This window comes from Homo sapiens, chromosome 5 (assembly GCF_000001405.40).
Source record: "Homo sapiens chromosome 5, GRCh38.p14 Primary Assembly".
NCBI lineage: Eukaryota > Metazoa > Chordata > Mammalia > Primates > Hominidae > Homo > Homo sapiens.
In genome coordinates, this window is record NC_000005.10 from 133,986,175 (window position 1) to 134,008,162 (window position 21,988).

Genomic DNA, 21,988 nt, shown 5'->3' on the forward strand with positions numbered 1-21,988 from the left:
TTATTTGTGATGGATACTCAGCGTGGGTGCTGGTCCTTATTGAGGTCTGTGGCCTCATCCAGATGTGGTCTACACTCCGCTCCTCCTGGGAGCCAGGTGTTTTCCCAGGCTGTACCCTCAGTCACTTTGGAAAGCCAGCTTTCGTTTCTAATCTCCATGATGCACCACCAGAACTTTCCTCAAATACCCAGTAGCATTATGTACATCTAGCACCCAGAATTTTAGTTTTGTTTTTTTTTTGAGATGGAGTCTTGCTCTGTCGCCCACATTGGAGTGCAGTGGTACCATCTCGGCTCGCTGCAACCTCCACCTCCTGGGTTCAAGCAATTCTCCTGCCTCAGCCTCCTGAGTAGCTGGGATTACAGGTGTGCGCCACCACACCCAGCTAATTTTTGTATTTTTAGTAAAGACAGGGTTTTGCCAGGCTGGTCTCAAACACCTGACCTCGTGATCCACCTGCCTCAGCATTCCAAAGTGCTGGGATTGCAGGCATGAGCCCCCGCGCCAGGCCTACAATCTTAGTTTCTAAATATCATTCTCCAACATAAAGAACCAAGGCTCCTTGGAGAAATGGCAGATAGCAGGACTGGGGAAAAACAAGTACTAGATGAGCGTGGTACACTTTCTAAAACCAGAAATAAAGACATGCTCTGAAAAACGACAGAGGTTTGTCAAAAAGCACACAGAGTGTATTCTCCCAAAGCCCATATCTGGGACAACTTGAGCGACAAAATAAATGACACTGTGCATTATAGCCCATAGAGTAAATGTCCATGCATCTATACTAATATAAATAAATAATTGATTAAATAAATACATGGGGAAGAAGGAATAGCTCTTCCTTACGGTAGAATACCAATTAACAAGTGAAGGAAGGATGGCAATAGAAAATTACCATTTGAGGCCAGGTGTGGTGGCTCACACCTGTAATCCCAGAATTTTGGGAGGCCAAGGTGGGAGGCAGATCACTTGAGTCAGGAGTTTGAGACCAGACTGAGCAACATGGTGAAACACTGTCTCTACCAAAAATATAAAAATCAACCAGGGGTGGCAGCAGGCACCTGTAGTCCCAGCTACTGGGGAGGCCGAGGAGGGAGGATCCCTTGAGCCAGGGAGGCAGAGGTTGCAATGAGCCGAGATCATACCACTGCACTCCAGCCTAGGTGACAGAGTGAGACCCCATCTCATAAAAACAAAAAAGAAAAGAAAATCACCATTTGTAGCCAGGCGTGGTGGCTCACACCTGTAATCCCAACAATTTGGGAGGCTGAGACGGGTGGATCGCTTGAGCTGAGAAGTTCTAGACCAGCCTGGCCAACCTGGTGAAACCTCATCTCTACTAAAAATACAAAAATTAGCTGGGCTTGGTGGCACACGCCTGTGGTCCCAGCTACTTGGGAGGCTGAGGAAGGAGGATTGCTGGATCCCAGGAGGCAGAGGTTGCAGTGAGCCAGGATCACACCACTGCACTCCAGTCACCATTTGCCAAGCGTAACTGTTGCAGGCAAGAATCACCAATGGATGTTACTATTTTTGAGCAAAAGTATGATGAGAAATAGAATATCTGCATAATCTCAAAGTGTCTACCCACAAGATACTTACTAATTACAAAGAGAAAAATAGTAGCTTTACAATGAAGAGAGTTGGCAGACACCACTTCAAAACTGATCACCAAAAATGAGGCCTACTGATATATTCTTCCTAACATCAGGTGCAGAGAAGAATATAACACAACAACTACAGTTGCCAAAAATGCATAACCTAAATTTAATCATAAGGAAGCATCAGACAAATCCAAACTGAGGGACATCTTAACAAAATAATTGGCCACTCTTTTTCAAAAGTGTCAGAGTCAGAAAATATTCCAGATTAGAGAAGACTTAACAATTAGATGCAATTTAGGAACCTGAACTGGATCACAGATCAGAAAAAAGACGTCATTGTGACAACAGATTAATTAACTATATGATATCAACATTAACTTGCTGATTCTGATCATTATAGTTACGTAAACCATTAACATTAGGAGCTGGGTGAAGAACACAGGAGAACTCTGCATACTATTTTTGCCACATTTTTTTCTAAGTATAAAATTATTTTGAAATAAAAAGTAAATTAAAAAAAAAAGGGGGGCAGGTGCAGTGGCTCACGCCTGTAAACCCGGCACTTTGGGAGGCTGAGGTGGGCAGATCACCCAAGGTCAGGAGTTCAAGACCAGCCTGACCAACATGGAGAGACCCTGTCTCTATTAAAAATACAAAATTAGCTGGGTGTGGTGGTGCATTCCTGTAATCCCGGCTACTCGGGAGGCTGAGGCAGGAGAAACACATGAATCTGCCCAGCACTTTGGGAGGCCGAGGCAGGTGGATCACGAGGTCAGAAGTTCAAGACCAGCCTGGCCAATACGGTGAAACCCCCGTCTCCACTAAAAATACAAAAATTAGCCAGGCATGGTGGCCCGTGTCTGTAGTCCCAGCTACTTGGGAGGCTGAGGCAAAAGGATCACTTGAACCCGGGAGGAGGAGGTTGCAGTGAGCTGAGATCACACCACTGCACTCCAGCCTGGGCGACAGAGCAAGACTCCGTCCCCCTCAACCCAAAAAAAAAAAAAACCAAAAAACTTTCCTTTGTGTTTTATACTGCATGGCCTGGAGACCTCTGCAAAGCTCCCTAAGGTCATGGGAAGGAAATCACCTACAAATTCCAAAGTGTGCTATCCCAGGGCAGCAGGCAAAGTCCCAGGCAGCAAATTCAAGCATGTGGGCACATCCTCCAGCCTCTCATCCTATCCCAGGATCTTTCCAGATAACCGCTCCCTGATACCATGGCAGAGTTCCTGGGGGGAGAGTGCACAGCACTGCAAAAAGGCAGTGCTCTTGCAGGAGAAACTACAGCAGCGAAGAGGAATGAGAGTAAATCAGCCCCGTAACAATGGTCTCTTCAGATCATCTATAGCCAAGCTATAAGACGACATCTCCAGAGGATAGGAACCATGTGTGCCCAGTCACTTGTGTGCACTGCACACCCAGCACAGGTCTGCACTTGGTAGATCCTCCCTCTAATAAATATCTGTTGGAAAGGAAAAAAGGAAGAAAGAAAAAAAATGAATGGCAAAACTGAAAAATTCATAGTGCCATTTAACTACACACTTAAAGATGTTAAGTTTTATATGTATATCTTACCACAATTTTTTTTTTTTTTTGGAGACAGAGTCTCTCTCTGTAGCCCAGGCTGGAGTGCAGTGGTGCGATCTCAGCTCACTGCAACCTCTGTCTCCTGGGTTCAAGCGATTCTCATGCCTCAGCATCCCAAGTATCTGGGACTACAGGCACGCACCATCATGCCTGGCTAATTTTTGTATTTTTATTAGAGATGGGGTTTTGCCATGTTGCCCAGGCTGGTCTCAAACTCCTGACCTCAAGCAATCCACCCACCTCAGCCTCCCAAAGTGCTGGGATCACAGGCATGAGTCACTGCATCCGACTCTTTTTTTTTTTTTTCTTTTGAGATGGAGTTTCGCTCTTCTTGCCCAGGGTGCAGTGCAATGGCACCACCTTGGCTCACCACAACCTCTGCCTCCCAGGTTCAAGCGATTCTCCTGCCTCAGCCTCCCAAGTAGCTGGGATTACAGGCATGCGCCCACCAGGCGCAGCTAATTTTTATGTTTAGTAGAGACAGGGTTTCTCCACGTTGGTCAGGCTGGTCTCAAACTTCCGACCTCAGGTGATTTGCCTGCCTCAGCCTCCCAAAGTGTTGGGATTACAGGCGTGAGCCACCACGCCCGGCCCACAATTTTTAAAAACTGAAATTCAGTACATGCCCTTGACCCTAACATCACTATATAAAACATCTTCCCCAGGTTTGGAAGACCCACCAATATGAGTGGAAAAAAACAAGGGTGTATTCTAAAAGGGAATAATTCCTTCTAGGCACTTTGAAAAGCACCCAGGAATTGAGGCAGACTACCATGCTATCATGCCAAGTGATGGTCAAGAACTAACAAGCCTATTACATCTGTGGCCAGAAGGCCTGGGGAAAGTGCAGCCTCAGGAGCCACCTTGCAGTTACACCCACAGGGTCTCAGTGTCCCTAAGCAGCAGGAAGCTGGGAGAAGGACTTCCATGCCTGAAGAAATGAGGCTGGCAACAGTGACCAGTTAGGCCCTGCTTCCAAATGTCACCCACTCCCGTTTGGTCATAGCCACTTACATCACCAGCAGCCTAACTCACATGAAATGGCTATTACTGAACAGAAATCCTGCAACCTCCATGGCAGAAACTAGGAGAACACTAACAAAATGCAGAATCTTATTACAAAACACGGCTAAACACTGGTCTGAATCCTCTATTAGAAAGTGAGCTCCTTGGCGGGTAACAATCATGGCCTGGGCACCCTTAGATCTCCAGATGGGCACAGGGCCAAGCACAGGTGGCACTTAGAAATCGTTTGTTGGGTAAACACCAGTCCTGAATTAGGAAGTGCTCATTATAGCATAGTCTGTTAGTGCATAGATGTGGATACGACCCCTGGGACCAAATCAAAACCAGAGGACTTAAATCGCCAGGTCTCGGAGACCATATTTTAGGTGCTGTCAGCCCCCAAAACATTTTGTCACAAAGGGCTTCCACCACCTGCAACATCAGAGAACATCCTTGTGGAGAAAACAGATGAAACTCTTACCCAGTGTTAGGTGAGAAGGATGAATCGAAGGTCAGCTTCAGTCCACGTGCAAGCTGAACAGAAAAGAAATTTGCCACTAGATTTAGTCACAAGGCAGGCTGGCAGATGCGAATTAATAAATCCACATCTTTTCACAGCAGCCATTACCTGATCTTCCACAGTAATCTCGGTGCCTAGTGTATTGTCGGTATTCCATTTCTCTGTAAACGTCAGGCCGTACTCAGTCCATCTGTACTTGGTTTCCAGACTGCCCGTCACTTTGGTGGTCTCAGTGTTGGCTGAGCCTGAGCTTGTAAATTCCTTCAAAGGAGAGAGAAGAGTCACAGCCTGCACCATAGCACTCACTTGGCTTCACTTCACTCCTAAACACTATACTTGCCTTTCTGCAAGAGGCAAGACCCTGAATGTGGGGGGGCCAAGGCTAACTCTACAATTCAAATAGATATTTAAAGTACAGATGGGAGTAAAGGAGCCTGCTATGTAAAGAAATCTTATGGGGAATTTGTTGTCAGCAGACAGCTTCCTTCCTCCCTGTAACTCTTCAGTCTGGACAGGAAAGCATCTCCCTTCCATCCTGGCTCCAGGGCAGTACAGAGAAAAAGCACTGAGCTAAAGCTGACACAGCGGTAATTCAAACCCAAAACTTCTTTCTTCCAACAATTACTGCACACATAATTTCAAAGGGACTACTAAGATTACTTTAAAAACACTTATGTGGTTGAATGCAGGTGAATTTGAAAATAAGAAGCACAAGGAAAACTAAAACTGAGACCTGACCCATTCTCCTCTATTACCCGCTGCTGAACTGGGGGCCTACTGGCATGGTTCCCCTGGACCACCCATCATGCAGAAAATGGAATGAATGTGAAAACCACAAAAACTGCCAGAATAAAAAAAAAAAAGTACCTTCTTTTGGCTTTGCGGGCCAGGTCACGACAGTTATTTGTTGATCTACAACAAATTCCCACGTTCCATACAATGGTCACTATTTGGGTAATGGGTACACTAGAAGCCCAAACCTCACCATTACACAATACATCCATGTAACAAACCTGCACATGTACACCCTGAATCTAAAATCTTTTTTAAAAATAAAAATAAGCCAGGCGCAGTGGCTCATGCCTATAATTCCAGCACTTTGGGAGGCCAAGGTGGGCGGATCACCTGAAGTCGGGAGTTCAAGACCAGCCTGACCAACATGGAAAAACCCCGTCTCTATTAAAAATACAAAATTAGCCGAGCATGGTGGCGGGTGCCTGTAATCCCAGCTACTCGGTAGGCTGAGGTAGGAGAATCGCTTGAACCCAAGAAGTGGAGGTTGTGGTGAGCTGAGATCACGCCATTGTACTCCAGCCTGGGCGACAAGAGCAAAACTCCATCTCAAAAATAAATAAATAAAATAAAATAAAAATAAATAAATACTCATGTTCCATGTGGGTTGGACAACTTACCAATCCATTCTCAGATTTTGTTTTCAAATCAAGCTTTATTAAGCCAAATCCTAAAGAAAGAAGAAGACAACTGTCAATAGGTTAAATAACTAGAGAACAGCACCTCTGCCTCCCTCATGGTTGCTTCAGGATGCTTTTTTAAAAAGAAGCACACTCCTGCCACAGGGGCTGAGGGCACCCAGTCTCTGCTGCTGCTCGTGGGGGGAGCTCTCAGCTGCCATGGAACAGCAGCAGACAGAATGGGCACCCCCACCTGGGTCCCACCTGCACTCCCAGCAGGGTCTGATAAGAAGACACCTGACAGCTGGCAAAGACACAGTTACTGGGCCTCGTGGGCATGTGCCTAAGCACAGGCTAAATATAGAAGCCGCGCTCCACTGCAGCAGCTTCCACAGGGCTGCTCCACACTTGGAAAAGAAAACAAGAATACCCACTTGACAGCACCAATGCAGGAGCCTGTCCAACTGGGTGCACAACCAAAGTTGCTACAATTGCCACACAAATGAAAGCTTCTTTTTTCCCTCACGTGAAAGTTCAGAACAGCTGACCTACCCAGGTCTCCTAAACAGTTATCGGTAAAGTCTCAAACATGCCAACTCAGTCTGTGAGCTGAAAGGCACCCCCTCTCTGCAACACTCACCATAGCCCTTGGTGAAGACATCCCTGGCAGATTTGCCAAGATCGGCATACGTGGGTGGCACAGCCATCTTCTGCTATGATAAAAGAATCACCAGAATAAATGCATTGATAATTAGGGAAATTAGCTTTCCATCAATAACAATTATTAGATGTAATTAGCAACCAATAAAAATCACCTAGCACTAAGACTACCAGGTAGCTTATCCTCCCAGATGGGCCAAGAAGCCCTTGCTGTCTTGTCCTTCATTTTGTGGCCAGAGCTTGAGACACTCAATGAGTCTTTGTTGACAGATGATCAACAATTTAGACCTCTCCTCCTCAGCATCCCCAGGACTGAGCCCAGGCCCAGAACAGAGTAGGAGTCAGGAAATATTTGCTTAATGAATAAACTGTCAAAGACACATTCCCATGAGCCAGTGACTTTACTGAATTGTAGGACTGTTGCCAATAAAACATATCATCTTACAAAATGTCAGCTACTAGGACATTAAATGTACCGAATAGAAATCAGAGCTTTTCATGGGAACATCATTTTCCATGTGGCTCTGATTTCATTCATTCAACAAATATTTATGGAGTACCTACTATATGCCAGGATGGGCCCAACTTTTCACAAAACTTTTGGACTTTATGGGAACCCACTTCATATTTCTCATAGAGAATACAGTAAAACCAAACCAGTTTGGCAGCTCTTCACATGGAAAAAACCCAAATACATCCTCCAAATACATTAAACAAATATTTATTGAGCTCCAGTGTAACTTTATTTTTAAAACCAACCATCAAAGGACTACTTGGGATTGCTGCATATCACTAAGTCAATCAACAAACATTTATTAAGCACCTCGGTGTTCAAGGAAGGAGAGTAACTCAAATAGTCTTTGCCCTAAGGACCACACTGCATTCCTGGAAGGCTTTGCTTTGGCATGCTGTATATGCTGTGTACACAGGATTAATATCCTAATCTGGGACTGTACATGGTGTGCTCTGCCCAGGAGGAGAGGGGGTCATGCATGAGAAAGCCTCATCTCCTGCACCTTCTCCATCCCCAGAATCATTAGTCTCAACCAGAAGGACCATTCCATTCGTTTTAAAATACAGTATACCTAAATTATCAAAATTCATCTGCATATATACCATCTGAAGTTACATGTATATATATTCACACAAATAAACACATATATGACATGCTCCTGGCATGTCATATGACATGATATGCTTCCATATCATCAATGGAAGTTGCATTCTTGGCCAAAGCTTTAACTTCAAAGGCATTGCAGGAGGCCACAGACTCACTGAGTATGTTGTAAAAGAAACAGTATAAACTTCTACAATTTTAAATTGTGAAGTTGTGATCCAGGTCCTACTTTACTTTTTCCAGATGCTTTGTTAATTTTATCCCAGCTCACTTTTGTGTCAGAGCACAGACAGAAGAGCAGCGAGCTGTTTACTCTGTCCTATTTTTGTCGCTGCTGTGTTATTTCTTGCACATGATCAGGCTGAAACCATGGACAGGTCAGCCCACATTAGTATCAGGGTAGAGAGATGAGGGGGGAAGATCCATTTTACACTGCCCGCCACTGGCTCTTTCCAGTCTGGGGGCTCCCCTCTCCCCACTTGTTCCTCCCTCCCAAACTAACCCTGTAGGTGCATCCCCCCGGGATAGACCAGGAAACCACCCACCAGAACCTCAAGAAATACCCTTTACCTGACACCTTCCTAGGAGAACAACTCTGGATTGAAAGCTGAGGCAATGTAACCCCAGGCAGACACAGAACATAACAGTAACGGGCCCAGAACATTCTCCACCCGACAGGGTTAACAAACCATCAGTGAACCAAGTACCCCTCTTCAGTGCTATGCCTCCCAGGGGGGCCACAAACTCAGCCGGGGTGGGGGCTGGGGAAGCAGAAGGAGAAGCAGTCCAGTGGTAATATCTGTGGGTCACCTAAGACCTCCCTGGACCTTAGGAGCCAGAGCCTTCCCCACGACTCTCCCCTGACCCCACAGAAGAGACGCCTCCCAGACACAGCAGCCTTCACATCTGGACTGGTCCCCGCTCAGGATAAAGGCAGAGCACTCATCCATTAAATGTTCCCCAAATGCCCTCTCTCATCGCTAATCCCCAAAATCCAACAAGCACAGCCACCTGTCAAAAAACACCCCACCCACAGCAAACATCAGCCTGAAGTACAAGGCCACTAAAGAGATTACCACCCAAGGACAAGGCACTCAGAGAGCAGAGCTCAGAAGAGCAGACCGGACCCCTCCTGGGGCCTCTAGGAGCTCCGACACGGCCAAGCTCTTTTGGGGCTGTGGGGTTCCACAACACAACCATGTAGTTGGTACCAGCAGCACGCAAGTGAACTTGCTGGTTCACTAAAACATATCCCTATCCAATGCCTCACTGTAAACATACTGGATGCTGGCTTTCTCATCTGTGTCTTGCTCTCTTCCCCATCTCCTTGAACACCGACAATGAAGCATAATCTCCCCCGTTCTGGGCCCCCAAGTAAGCATTCTCCCCAGCATAGCACCTGGCAAGGAAGACTCACAGAAACCACTGGCTGAATGGAGTCAAGTCCACTCCTGGGCCTGAAGTGACACCACCGAGGACAGCAAAAGGATGACTCACCCTTTCACTAAAGGCCCCCAACTGCCAGGTAGTGGTAGCTTCCCCTCCTTTTTGTGCACTTCGGCCCATCCCCTGCTGCACTGATCTGACGGAACTAAGGAAGGCCCGAGACAGCTCTGCCGCTCCGAGAAGTTCAGCTTTCTTACAGCTACAGACAGCACCCCCAAAATGCCCATTTTTACACAGCTCTCGAACCCATTTCAGAGACAATTTTATGATAGAAATAATAATCTGCATTAATTTTCTAAGGCGAGGACTGGAGGAAAGAAAAGTCGGCAACAAAGCCTGCTTTCACTTAACACCCTGCCAGGGTGCTGACTTGAAGGCTGAACCCTGGCCCCCACCCCTCCCAGTCACTCCTTCCACCCAGATCTGCTCCAAATCGGAGCCTGTACAGTTAGCTACTGATACACAGCTGTCTCTGCAGCATCCACCCCCCAGGGGCCTTCACAAGCTGAGCCTCTAGAGGCTGCGCATGAAGCAGGGCAGTCTGGCATCGGCAAAGCAGCTAGCCCTGGACAGACAGAAGTCAGAGGGCGTCCTGGGGGAGTCAGAACCACAGGCCTCTCTGCCTGAGTGATGGCTTCAGGGCAGAGCCTGGGGGCTTTGTTCCCACTGGTTGGTAGGAAACAGAGGGATGGGCAGGGCCAGGCTGAGCAGACCTGCCTGCAGTCACTGAAGACTTTGAGAAGGACCAGCAAGTCACACCAGGATACAGGAGTCCCTGGTTCCCCTCCACAGCCTGCCAGTCTACCTACCCAACCTTTCCTTGGCTGACCTTGAACAAATTATGCAAGCCCCATTCCAGCTGAGGAATGAAAATCCGGCCCATACTGGAAGCACAGAGGGGAAGGATAGTGTATCTATCACCCAGCACAGTCTGCATAATACTTACGTAACCTCTGTCTTGGGGGTACACATCCTTCTTGGCTCATCAGCTGAATGGCAATGACAGCTGCTGTGCTCACCGTGCCCCCACCCCACCCTACCCCATACACCTACCCCCAAAATCACCTCTTTGAATTCAAAGCACCCCAGAGCCTGTCATGCATAAATTTATCCAAAATATGGAAAAAGTTACGTATATAAAGATGCTAAGCCCTGGCACATAATAGGCATTCAATATAAATGTGTTTGATGAGTGAATGAGCAATGAGCATCAAAGTATTATTTAGCAATGGGGAAAAAAGTAGAAACTTGGAATCTGACAATAGGAACTCATTACAATGCAACCAGGAAGTAAGAGCTCCCTCTGCAGGCTCACTGTTGCAGCATCACCAAGAGTGGGGGAGTTGGGGAGACCCTCAACTAGCAATGACCTCCACTCCCTGCCTGCTCCCACCTCGGCCTAAGGAGAGCTGATCTCAGGCTGAGGAGACCAAGTGCCATCAGAAGCACTGGTTGCTTCTGACCTCAATACCATGCATGGATTTTATTCTAAGGGCCACCAAGAGCCACTGTTGAGTGACTACCACATCTGTGTTTCAGAAGCTCACTTAACCAGCAGTCTGGCAAAAACGTAAATAATATCCAGTGTCAGTGAGGGTGTGGAAAACAGTCACTCTTGTTCACGCCAAGGGGGAGTACTACAGGTACACTCTTTTTGGAGAGCAATTAACCCAGCATTAACCCTAGTGGCAATTCCACTTCTAGGAACCTGCCCCACTGTAGCAACCAAGGCACTACTCAAAGATGTGTATATGAGGATGCTCACTGCAGCAGTATTTGTAACACAAAACCCAGAAGCAACCTAAAAGTCCATCAAAAGGAAAATGAATGAATAAAAATTAAGGTACTATACTTGCAAACTAAGGAGTACCATATGGTAATCAAAAAGAATAAGGTGGGTGGCTCATGCCTGTAATCCCAGCACTTTGGGAGGCTGAGGTGGGCGGATCACTTCAGGCCAGGACTTCCAGATCAACCTGGCCAACATGGCAAAACCCCGTCTCTACTAAAAATAAAAAAAAAATAAAAAAAAAAAATCACCCAGGTGTGATGGTGCACGCCTGTAATGCCAGCTACTTGAGAGGCTGAGGCACAAGCTTAAACCAGGAGGCAGAGGTTGCAGTGAGCCAAGATCATGCCACTGCACTCCAGCCTGGATGACAGAGCGAGACTGTCTCACAAAAAAAAAAAAAAAAAAAAAAGAATAAGGTGGATGTATGTGGTGGCATAGAAAGCTAGCTATGAAGCTACGATAGCCGTGCGCAGTGGCTCATGCCTGTAATCCCAGCACTTTGGGAGGCCGAGGTGGGCGGGTCACCTGAGGTCAGGAGTTCGAGACCACCCTGACCAACATGGAGAAACCCTGTCTCTATTAAAAATACAAAATAAATTAGCCAGGCGTGGTGGCGCATGCCTGTAATCCCAGCTACTCGGGAGGCTGGGGCAGAAGAATTGCCTCAACCTGGGAGGTGGAGGTTGTGGTGAGCTGAGATCGCGCCATTGTAATCCAGCCTGGGCAACAAGAGTAAAACTCCGTCTCGAAACAAAAAAAAAAAAAAGAAAGAAAGCTAGCTAGCTATGATACAGTTAAATGAAAAAAGTCAGAAAATTTGTAATTCCATGTAATTGGAGGAAAACCTTTTTACACATCTTTCTATGTTCATGAATGGATGGGAAAGCATGTGGAAGGATACAAGCCAATCTGCAAATTGGGGCTGGCTTAGATACGCTTCTGGAGAAGGAGGTTTAGGGAAGGAATGCACTTCAAATCGAATTTTCATTTTTTGTTCTGCTTCATTATTTAAGCTGTTTGTGTATACTAATAATTTGTTTAAGGATAAAGAATTTCAATACAAAAATTAGCCGGGCGTGGTGGTAAGTGCCTGTAATCCCAGCTACTTGGGAGGCTGAGGCATGAGAATCACTTGAACCCAAAGGCAAAGGCTGCAGTGAGCCAAGATCGTGCCACTGCACTCCAGCCTGGGTGACAGAGCGAGAGACTCCCTCTCCAAAAAAACAGCACTTTAAAAGCCAACCACTGTGCCTGAAATTGAGCTGTGTTGTGTCCCAAATCACGTTCCAAGGCTGCTGCAGTAGCAATGCCAGAAGGCTACCTAGAGTGTCCATACAGATTGCAAGAACAGATTTAAACTACACTGAGATGGAAGAGTTATCAGGCAAGGTCCGTCGGGGCACATTTCACTCCCAGGTGACCACTAGTGGCTTGGCCACCCTGCCAGAAATCATGAGCAGGAAAGAGCTCCCTAACTTCAGGGTGCACAAGAATCACCGGAGGCGCTTGTTCAAGAAGAGCCTGCCAGAAGAGATGGAACTCCTCCTGCCCTACCTCTCAGCCTGTGCCTAACAGGCAGGGCTGCCCCCAGGTGCCACTGAGAAGCAGCAGCTCAGGGCGGTTCCTGCACTAAGCACCTACCAGGCCCCCGCCTGGTAGAAATATGCTCTCTTCTCTGCAGAGGCTCCCTCAAAAGGATTCAGGCATGTGCCAGGCATGGTGGCTCACGCCTCTAATCCCAGCACTTTGGGAGGCTGAGGCAGGAGGATCGCCTGAATGCAGGAGTTCGAGACCAGCCTGGGCAATACAGTGAGACCCTGTCTCTTTTAAATAAAAAATAAAAAGAAATAAATAGTAATAATAGAAGGATTCAGGCAGATGAGCTTTGCACCCCTAGAGAGCCAACAACTACTGCAATGGTTGATACAGGGAGCAGGGTGGCCATGGGTCTCCAAGACTCAGCTAAAAACAGCTGGGAGGAAAGGCCTTAGGCCTAAGGAAGTTGTTACAAGGAATGAGTGAAACAGGCAGAACAGCAGAAGTATCTGGCATGGAGTAAGTGTTCAACAAATGGCAGTAATAACCATAATCCACTACACTGGATACTCTGTCTGCCCCTCCAGATCCATTCTCCTCCCTTCCACCCTGCTCTGTGCCCCCAGAACTGATCATTATGGACTGCTGTCCATGGGCTTATGATTGGGCTTAGCCTTTCAACGTGAGGTACTTGCAGAAGACGGGAGTTTAGGGAAGAATGAAGTCGGGGTACTCACCCCGAGTCTCCCTCCCTGCTAGGCTTCAGATGGGCAATGACTACCTTCCTCTACCCAAGGCCACAGCTCCTGCCAAGAAGCTCCCTCTCTTGTAGGCCTCAGGGTGTTAACAGACCAGACCTGACACCCCATCCACAGCTTTGCAAATGATGTCTTCATTAAACTCTCCTGGATTACCAAGTGTAAGTGTGCACCAGATCCCTGCAAAGACGCTAACCAACAGAGCAATCACAACCATCATCATCATCATTGCCATCATCTTATGATTCTGCCAAGGAAGAGAGTACTATGGAAAAGTCTCTGGCCCCGCTGTTTCACCAACACCATTCTAGGTGGTTTGTCAGGGCAGAACTAGGCCAGCCTATAGGAGGGGTATCAGACCAGCCAGTGATCACAGAAACAGCACCTCTTCCTAGCCCTGAGGACCAGGAAAAGCAACTTCCCCAGCAGAAGGCAACCCTAGCTCTAAAAGCCAACATGGGGGCGAACACAATCAGCAGCTCGCTCACACACATGCACGCATGCACACACACACACTCCAGCACTTTCTCTTTCTTGCCAGGAAGAAACAACCCAGGGGAACAGTTCCTGGTTCAAGCTCCAGGATGCTGGCAAAGGCTGATGGCCCTGTGTTCTGGTAGCAGGTCTGCGTACCCAATGCAGCTGTTCTCTCCCTCCATTCTTCCACAACAGTCTCGCAGTGGGCAGTAGAGCTTTCCAGGGGTAGCTTCTATTTTGAAACACCCTGGCAGCTGGGCCACCACCAGCACAGCTGAGTTCCATGCTGAGCTCCTGGGCTCAAGAGGTTGCTGACTCAGGGCAGCCTGCCCACCCACCTATCAAGGGGAGATGGCCTGCGCTGGCAGCCAGTACACTATGGTCTGGATCCCAGGCATACCTGGGGCTCCTACCTGACCTAAGGCACCTCAAGTTCCCTGGAGCCTCACTGCTTGGCTTGACCAGGTAGGGTTGAGACAGACAGTGCTTGGGCAGGAAGCCTCGGGAATCAAATAGACCTGAGTTCTAACCCACCCCACCACTTTCTAGGTATGTGACTTTGGGCAAGTCGCAACCTCTCTACTCCTTTTTCTTCAGCTCTAATATGGAGAAAGAGAGCCTGGATGGCGTCACTGTGAGGACTGAATTAGCTCGTTAATATACAACACTTGGTACAGTGGCTGGCGCTTGGTAAGCAGGGAATACACACAGTATTTTATCACAAGTTTTCATTTTGTATATTTATTATAATAATGGCTGCTAAGCATGTTCAAAAGGTCACCCTGAACCACAGGGTCCAGAGTCCTTCATGTCCACAATGAGGCATTGTTTAGCTGAACAGGTCCTGAAAGAATGCCTCCCACCAGATCCCAGGGAAAACGGACCCTTATAATAGACACTCAGCACCACTGTCCTTGCAAGAAATAGAGGTGACTCCATTGTCCACTGCCAGTTGGCCCGCACACAGCCATGCACAAGTTCACTCTGACTGGTGTGGAAAAATAATGTCTCCCATCTGAACACCAATTTTGACTTTCCAAAAGGCATTCACATCTGTTAGCACCTTGCAAGGGTCCCTTGGAGTGCAACTGCAATGTGAGAGCACCACCATTCAGACCAGGCCTTGAATCCCAACTCCACTCCTGCCAGGCTGTGTTACCTCACCTCTCTGTGCTCGAGTCTGCTGACCTGTGAAATGGAAACACACTATCTCTCTCCCAGGGTATAGGGTGGTGAACTCAACATCACAGAACATTCGTTGAGCCCCCAGAAAGGTGCTGAGCAAGCCCTCAATCAGCAATCACTGTAATGACGACAATCATACTTTTATAGCAGACAAACTCGGCCGGGCTCAGTGGCTCACACCTGCAATCCCCGCACTTTAGGAGGCCGAGGCGGGTGGATCAGGAGGTCAGGAGTTCAAGACCAACCTGGCCAAGATGGTGAAACCCCATCTCTACTAAAAAATACAAAAAAATTAGCCAGGCATGGTGGCAGGCGCCTGTAATCCCGGCTACTCGAGAGGGTGAGGCAGAGACTTGCTTGAACCCGAGAGGTAGAGATTGCAGGGAGCCGAGATTGCACCACTGCACTCCAGCCTGGGCAACAGAGTGAGACTCCATCTAAAAAAAAAAAAAAAAAAAAGAGAGAGAGAAACTGAGGCACAAGACAGTGACTTGACCTGTATGAGACCGACCCTATGGCTCACCAGACCTGTGTTATGGGCCTAAGCTACTCTCCAGTGCTCTTTCCAGCACAGTTCTGAGTAAAGAACTTAAAGTCCCACTCATCCCAAACCCCCTGAGTACGTGGTAAAATGGAGAAATGCGCCCAGACCCAGCTGAGGAGCCCACTGGTCAACTTTTCTCAGTGGCTACCACAGGACTCCATGGAAAACCCAAAGCCGCAGACTACAGAATCTCTGAGCACCAGGAGGGGCTGCCTCCAAGCTTCGGCTGGTCCTCAACCACACATGCGCCTCTTCCAGTCACTACCACCGAAGACACTACACCACGGGAAATTCCATCAAAGGCGAAGTGGACTTCAGTGCTTCAGGAGCATCTTCCTGGTAAGGGTAGAGGTTGGATGCCCTTCACCTCCCCAGCATGGAGTTCACTGTCCACACCTGCCTAGTGTTCAGCAAGGCCAGGGGCCCACAGGCACCTCATCCCTGTATGGTCCCCCACTTTCTGAGCTACGAATAACCCCTGCCTATAGCCCCACTCTAGAATAGCAAAAATAAAACTAAATAATCAACAAGGAGTAGTCCCCACTACCCACAGGCAGGCACCCTACTCAGGACAACCCCAGCACAAGCTGTCCATCCACCCACCATGAGGGAAGGGGTAACAGGCCCAACACCTTCTGTAGAATCCCAGTCACCCATGTCACCCTCCCTGCAAGCCCAGAAACACCAGTTCAACAAGTTTCCCTCGGGACTTGGAAAACCAGAGAATGAAGACGATGTGTTTAAAGCACTTATTTCAAGAGACTATACATACTGTTACAGTTCTTTAAATATTTGTGACTCTCTGCTAGGTGAGGCTGTTTTCCACAAGTGAGATGTCTGTGTCCCTCAAAAGGATGTCCAGGACCGGGCATGGTGGCTCACGCGTGTAATCCCAGCACTTTGGGAGGCGGAGGCGGGTGGATTGCTTGAGGCCAGGAGTTTGAGATCAGCCTGGCAAACATGGTGAAACCCCGACTCTACTAAAAATACAAAAATTAGCCAGGCGTGGTGGTGTGTGCCTGGGATCCCAGATACTCTGTGAGGCTGAGGTGGGAGGATTGCCTGAACCCAGGAAACAGAAGCTGCCATGAGCCGTTATGGTGCCACCGCGCTCCAGACCTGGCAACAGAGCAAGACCCTGTCTCAAAAAAAAAAAAAGTCCAGGATCAAAGGACTATGGTCTGGGCCTGCAGCCCTTCATATGCCCATTCAATAATTCCACAAATACTCAATAAGCACCTACTATGGGCCATGTACTGGAATAGTAAAACTCTGTCAGTAAAGATGGGTGGATTCTGACACAAGAGTGCATTTACCCCCACAGACCCTTCTCAAGCACCTACTGTGTGCCAGGCAGCACCACCCCAGGCACTGAAGACAAAGTAGCACAGGGCCTCAGTGCCTCAGTCTGACCCTTAGGAGCTGAGTTGGTCCAGAGCTGGGGTGGGCAGAATGAAGGCTGGCCCTCGGTAGTCTGCTCTGGCCTTCTCCTGCCTCAGTGGAGAAGTTTAGGCAACAGAGGAGCCCTTTCCCCTATCTCCCCAGGAGAGGGGAGGCTAGTCAAGGGGACAGGGACCCCGGGCGGAACGGGCTCTAAACCAGGGTCTGCTCCTGCATTCAAGATCTCCACATGCAAACTTACTGCTCCAGCTTGACAATGTCCATTTGTAAACTTACAAGATTTTTCATAAATTAAGCTGAAAGTTACTCAATACCTGGTATACAAATGCTTGTCAATAATAGTGAAAGAATGTTTAAAAACAGGAGCTACATTTATTGAACCCCTTCCACAACGCCACGTGTAGCAAAATGGTCTGCGGGGGATGGGCTGGATTCACCCAAAAAGCCCCAAGGGTGTCAGGGTTTCTACTTAGCCCTTCTCCACACCGGCACTGTTCTAAAGGTTTCATGCTAATTAATTCATTTTATTATTCCCCAAAACTCATCGAAGGAGAGGTACAATTGCTCCCGTCCTATAGATGAGAAAACGAAGGTATGGGGACTTCCCAGCTGTGTGACCTTGTACAAACCACTAAGACTGCGGGCCTCTAATCCAAAGTCAGGCTCCGAAACAGTTTCCAGAATGCACCGCCGCATTTGGCGAATGAATGAACGACCGAACCAGTAATCACTCCTAAGACCAAGAAGGCCACATCCTTCCCCGTGGGGCCTCCTTTTCCGAGGCCAAACCTTCAGCCCAGGCCCGAGCTCCGGCCTCTACCGCCTAAGTCGACTCTCGGCCGGCGCGTTCCGCTCTAGAAGGCTCTGGCACAGGCGGGCGGTGCCGGGCGCCAGCTTCTGCGGGCGTGGGCCGGCCAGGGCGCGTGGGCCTGGGGACTCGGGGCCACGGTCGTCACGTGAGCTCATCCCCGAGGCGGCAGCGTGGCCGGCACCCGCCCGCTGGCCTGGTCCGGCGAGCGTGGGCGGCGAACGGGTCCCCGCCGGATGCACGCTGGTGGGATCCAGGGCCAGAGGGCGCCGCCGGGGAAGGTCACCTAGACGCGCGGCCCGCCGGGCCTCCACGCGGCCGCCCTTGCACTTCCGCCCGCAAGCCCGGGCCGCCTCTCGCCGCCAGCCGCAGGCGTCTCTGGACCCTCGGCCTCGCGCTCCCCAGCCCAGACCTGTTCGGCACCCGCCTGTGCGGCCTTCTCTGCCCGCCCGCTCACCAGCCAGGCCCGCGCCGGCCGCTCGCGATCCCTCCCCGCGGCCGGGCTGCCGGGGCCCCTCGCCCGCTCCTCCCTCAGCGCCTCCCTCTCAGCTCCCCAGGGGCCTGGCCCCCGCCGTCCAGGGCGCAAGGAAGCCGGGGTCCTTTTCCGCTGCGCCTACCTCAGAGGATGTGGCGGCGGGCTCGGAGGCGGCTACGGCGGGGGCTGCGACGCGGAGGCAGGGAGCCGAGCCAGGGAGCGGAGCCGAGCGAGCGGCTGGGCCAAGGGCGGGGCGGCGCGGACGGCGGCGGCGCGGACCCGCCTCCCCTCCTGCGCGCCCGGCCCGGCGCGCTCCGCCCCCAGGCCCCGCCCGGGACAGCGTCCAGGCCGGGCCAGGGTCCCCATCCCGCTAGCGAGCCGCGTTCTTACCCTTCCGGGCCCCGCTGCCCCGGCAGCAGACACAGGAGCCTGCGGGCGTGTTGCGGGCGCGCGGGAGGACCTGCGTGAGTCGGGGCACGGGGAGGCGCCGGACTGACGTGTGCACCGTGTGTGCGTGCGCAGGGACACGCGGGTTCTTGCTGGAAACCTCGGCCCCAGTGGCAGCGCTCGGGAAGGGGGAGGAGGCCTTCCGATTCTCTGAGCTGTGGCCCGGAGGTCCCTGCGCTAATGGAAGACGCGCGGGGCTCCTGGGCCTCCTGCTTGGCCTCCGCGCTGCTAGATCCCCCGGGAGTTGATGTGGCCGGCGCTGGACCCAAGCCTCGCCTGGGTGGACAAAGTGGCCCCCGGCCCCCCATCAAAGCCCGCGTGGGCCCCATCCCCCGAGGGCAGTCCCAGGCCCAGCGCGGACACTGGGCGCCTGGGGCGGCGCAGATACAGAGTAGAGGCGGCGACTGTTGCTCCCGAGCTCCGCGCTCCGGATACAATGTGTCTGGCGCCTCCGACCCGCCCGCGCGGCGTCTAGACAATCTCAGAGAAAACCCCTGTGCGCCGATTTTGCACTACAGATTAGCGATTTTCTCCTGTAGCAAAGCTACTAGCAGCCAATTTCCATGCATTTGAGAGGCAAAAAGACAAAATAAAACAAAACGTGGATTGGGTTTTGCGAGGTCCCTGCTGGGTCTCTCGGCGCGAGGAGATCACGCCGGTTATGGCCGGCCGGCCGACTGAGGGCACCCCGGGTAACCCCCGCGACCAGCCGGGGCGTGTCCTGCGGGACCCAGTTAGTGTGTGTTGAGTGAACGGTCACCTCGCTGCTAGGCCTAAGCGAGTGGTCTCGTTCACCACTGAGTGTCCCCTGTGTTACGCGCGAGGCCCACTCGAAGCAGGTTTCGAGAATTAATTCGTAGATGGACGAAGATTCTACACATCCTTCGCCTTTGATCAACAAACGTCCTGGAAGGCTTGAGGCGTCTAGGGCCCTGTGGAGGAGGTGCCGGGTTACAGAATCAGGACACTCCTCACAGCCAGCTGCGACACTATCTAAAGCAGTGGGCAACTGGGGCTACGGAGGAGGCAATCAGGACTGGCTGCTGGGAAAAGGCGGCAGATTAAAAGTGGCGACTGGAGTTGGAAAAGGTGCTCCAGTGGGATAGGGTGCTGAGGAAGAGGGCAGCTGATACAGAGTGGGAGTGGGGTGCAGACAGGTTACCTAGGCCCTGTGTAGGGGCTGGGGGAGGGGTGACTGGGAATGTAAGGAAGAGCCCCCTTCAAGATCCTGAGGAGTGTAGGACGGATTCTATGACCCTCCCAGGCGCACGAGTTGCCTGGGAACTCTGGGCTTCCCAGCCTGGTGGTCCCCACCCCGCACACTGAGACTGGTGGGCAGGGGGAGGACAAGAACTCAGGGAGGCCGGGCGGGACAAGGCGGGGCTCCAGGAACCCCACAGGGCTAGGAACAGATGCCGGTGCAACCCAGTTTTGAGGCTGGGAGCAAATGTCGAAGGGCTTCCTCCCCTCCAGCGCCACCTCTCAACTCCGCTTTAAAGAACCAATCTGGGCCGGGTGCAGTGGCTCAAGCCTGTAATCCTAGTACTTTGGGAGGCCGAGACAGGCAGATCACTTGAGGCCAGGACTTCGAGACCAGCCTGGGCAACATGGCAAAACCCTGTCTCTACTAAAAATACAAAAACTAGACGGGCGTGGTGGCGCGCGCCTGTAGTCCCAGCTACTCAGGAGGCTGAGGCACGAGAATCGCTTGAACTTGGAAGGAGGAGGCTGGAGTCAGCTGAGATTGAGCCGCTGTACTCCAGCCTGACTGACAGAGTGACATTGTCCCCCCCCCCCAAAAAAAAAAAACAAAAAAAAACAACAACTTGGAAAGAGTTCTTCATGGCCTCTGCTACCCTGGGCCCCTTCGCCAGCTCCCCTAGGTGCTAGTTTCAGATTAACCACTCACTTAGTGGCTGCGTGACCCAGGCAAGAAGGCTGGCCTCTAAGAGCCTCAGCTTCAGAGTGTTGGTGTAAGTTTAAAATGGGACACATAAAGAGTAGGCACTCGGCCCCGTGCAGTGGCTCACTCCTGTAATCCCAGCACTTTGGGAGGCTGAGGCGGCTGGATCACCTGAGGTCGGGAGTTCGAGACCAGCCTTACCAACATGGAGAAACCCCGTCTCTACTAAAAATACAAAAATTAGCCGGGCATGGTGGCACATGCCTATAATCCCAGCTACTCGTGAAGCTAAGGCAGGAGAATTGCTTGAACCCAGGAGGCGGAGGTTGCGGTGAGCTAAGATCTCACCATCACACTCCAGTCTGGGCAACAAGAGCGAAACTCTGCCAAAAAAAAAAAAAAAGAAAAAAGAGTAGGCACTCATCAGTAACTGGGCCAGGCTCAGAGGCACATGTGGGTAATCCCAACTGTTTGGGAGGCCAAGGAGGTAGGATGGCTTGAGGCCAGGAGTTCGAGGGTGCAGTGAGCTAGCATCCCACTACTGCACTCCAGCCTGGACCACAGAGCAAGTTCCCGTCTCAAGAAATAGTATTAGTAATTTTTTAAAAAACAAAATCAGCTGAGATCTGCAGGTGCCATAATCACTAGAATCCATTGACCCACCACAACCCTGAGGGAGAGGGGAAACCCCCTGAGCCCCACCTCCATTCCATCTGCCACAGCTGATTGGGTCAGGGTTGGGCCCCTGACCCAAGCCAGGTCAATCAGATCCTCTCTTGCAAACCTGAACTGAGAAACCCAGGGATGAGTATGGCAGAGGGGAAAATGCGGGAGCTTTCAAGGCCCTTGGGGAGACCTGGGTCTGGCATCCCTGTCGGTGTTGCGAAGTTAACGAGGGCTTTTCACAGAACAGAGAATGGAGCAGCCGCTGCAGAGGGTGGCTCTGGGCCCCTGTTCCTTGAGTGCCCCCCTGTTCTTGCCATGCGTGGGTTTCCCTGTTCCACTTCAATAACCCCACTTGAGCTTGACCCAGCTAGAGCAAGTCCCTGGCGAAGACAGTCAAATCTTGGTGGGTGGAGAAGGAGGTTTGTGGGGACAGGACAATCCTAACCTCAGTTTTTCTCTGGGCGAATGACCCTGTTTCCCTCTCCTTTTGGTCAGCAAGCTTTCATGGAGCTGACTCCATCCCTGACTCCAAAGCCTTCCTGGGAGTGGCCACATGGCCCAGTCTGACCAATTAGAGCCCTGTATACCTCTCCTGCCCCCGCCTCTCCGCCCCCACATCCTGGCCTCCCACCGCCCCCGATC

General features: G+C 50.6%; 1 protein-coding gene across 20 annotated transcripts in view, besides 8 other annotated features; it reads right to left on the reverse strand.

Annotated features, from left to right (window-relative positions):
• VDAC1 (voltage dependent anion channel 1) overlaps positions 1–21,988 on the reverse strand; it is a 142,670-nt gene that overhangs the window by 14,304 nt on the left and 106,378 nt on the right. For 4 of the 20 annotated variants that reach the window (NM_001401024.1, NM_001401025.1, NM_001401028.1 and 1 more), the window contains exons 1-5: positions 18,473–18,594; positions 6,772–6,844; positions 6,132–6,181; positions 4,828–4,980; positions 4,681–4,733 (exon numbers count right to left, since the gene is read on the reverse strand). In NM_001401024.1, the coding sequence (NP_001387953.1) occupies positions 4,681–4,733; positions 4,828–4,980; positions 6,132–6,181; positions 6,772–6,838 (323 nt within the window). In that variant the 5' untranslated portion in view covers positions 6,839–6,844; positions 18,473–18,594. Of the gene's footprint in view, positions 1–1,743; positions 3,070–4,680; positions 4,734–4,827; positions 4,981–6,131; positions 6,182–6,771; positions 6,845–18,312; positions 18,361–18,472; positions 18,595–18,720; positions 18,802–21,988 lie in introns of those variants that run through there. The other 16 variants (NM_001401008.1, NM_001401011.1, NM_001401016.1 and 13 more) reach the window with 11 other exon arrangements.
• Positions 17,525–17,574: an enhancer, noted in NCBI's record as "active region_23113". NCBI's record gives its function as "activates an Ori minimal core promoter by ATAC-STARR-seq in GM12878 lymphoblastoid cells {active_cell/tissue: GM12878}" and the evidence as "EXISTENCE:reporter gene assay evidence [ECO:0000049][PMID:35858748]".
• Positions 17,585–17,634: an enhancer, noted in NCBI's record as "active region_23114". NCBI's record gives its function as "activates an Ori minimal core promoter by ATAC-STARR-seq in GM12878 lymphoblastoid cells {active_cell/tissue: GM12878}" and the evidence as "EXISTENCE:reporter gene assay evidence [ECO:0000049][PMID:35858748]".
• Positions 17,865–18,904: a silencer, noted in NCBI's record as "silent region_16349". NCBI's record gives its function as "represses an Ori minimal core promoter by ATAC-STARR-seq in GM12878 lymphoblastoid cells {active_cell/tissue: GM12878}" and the evidence as "EXISTENCE:reporter gene assay evidence [ECO:0000049][PMID:35858748]".
• Positions 18,965–19,024: a silencer, noted in NCBI's record as "silent region_16350". NCBI's record gives its function as "represses an Ori minimal core promoter by ATAC-STARR-seq in GM12878 lymphoblastoid cells {active_cell/tissue: GM12878}" and the evidence as "EXISTENCE:reporter gene assay evidence [ECO:0000049][PMID:35858748]".
• Positions 19,065–19,114: a silencer, noted in NCBI's record as "silent region_16351". NCBI's record gives its function as "represses an Ori minimal core promoter by ATAC-STARR-seq in GM12878 lymphoblastoid cells {active_cell/tissue: GM12878}" and the evidence as "EXISTENCE:reporter gene assay evidence [ECO:0000049][PMID:35858748]".
• Positions 19,285–19,404: an enhancer, noted in NCBI's record as "active region_23115". NCBI's record gives its function as "activates an Ori minimal core promoter by ATAC-STARR-seq in GM12878 lymphoblastoid cells {active_cell/tissue: GM12878}" and the evidence as "EXISTENCE:reporter gene assay evidence [ECO:0000049][PMID:35858748]".
• Positions 19,475–19,534: an enhancer, noted in NCBI's record as "active region_23116". NCBI's record gives its function as "activates an Ori minimal core promoter by ATAC-STARR-seq in GM12878 lymphoblastoid cells {active_cell/tissue: GM12878}" and the evidence as "EXISTENCE:reporter gene assay evidence [ECO:0000049][PMID:35858748]".
• Positions 19,575–19,644: an enhancer, noted in NCBI's record as "active region_23117". NCBI's record gives its function as "activates an Ori minimal core promoter by ATAC-STARR-seq in GM12878 lymphoblastoid cells {active_cell/tissue: GM12878}" and the evidence as "EXISTENCE:reporter gene assay evidence [ECO:0000049][PMID:35858748]".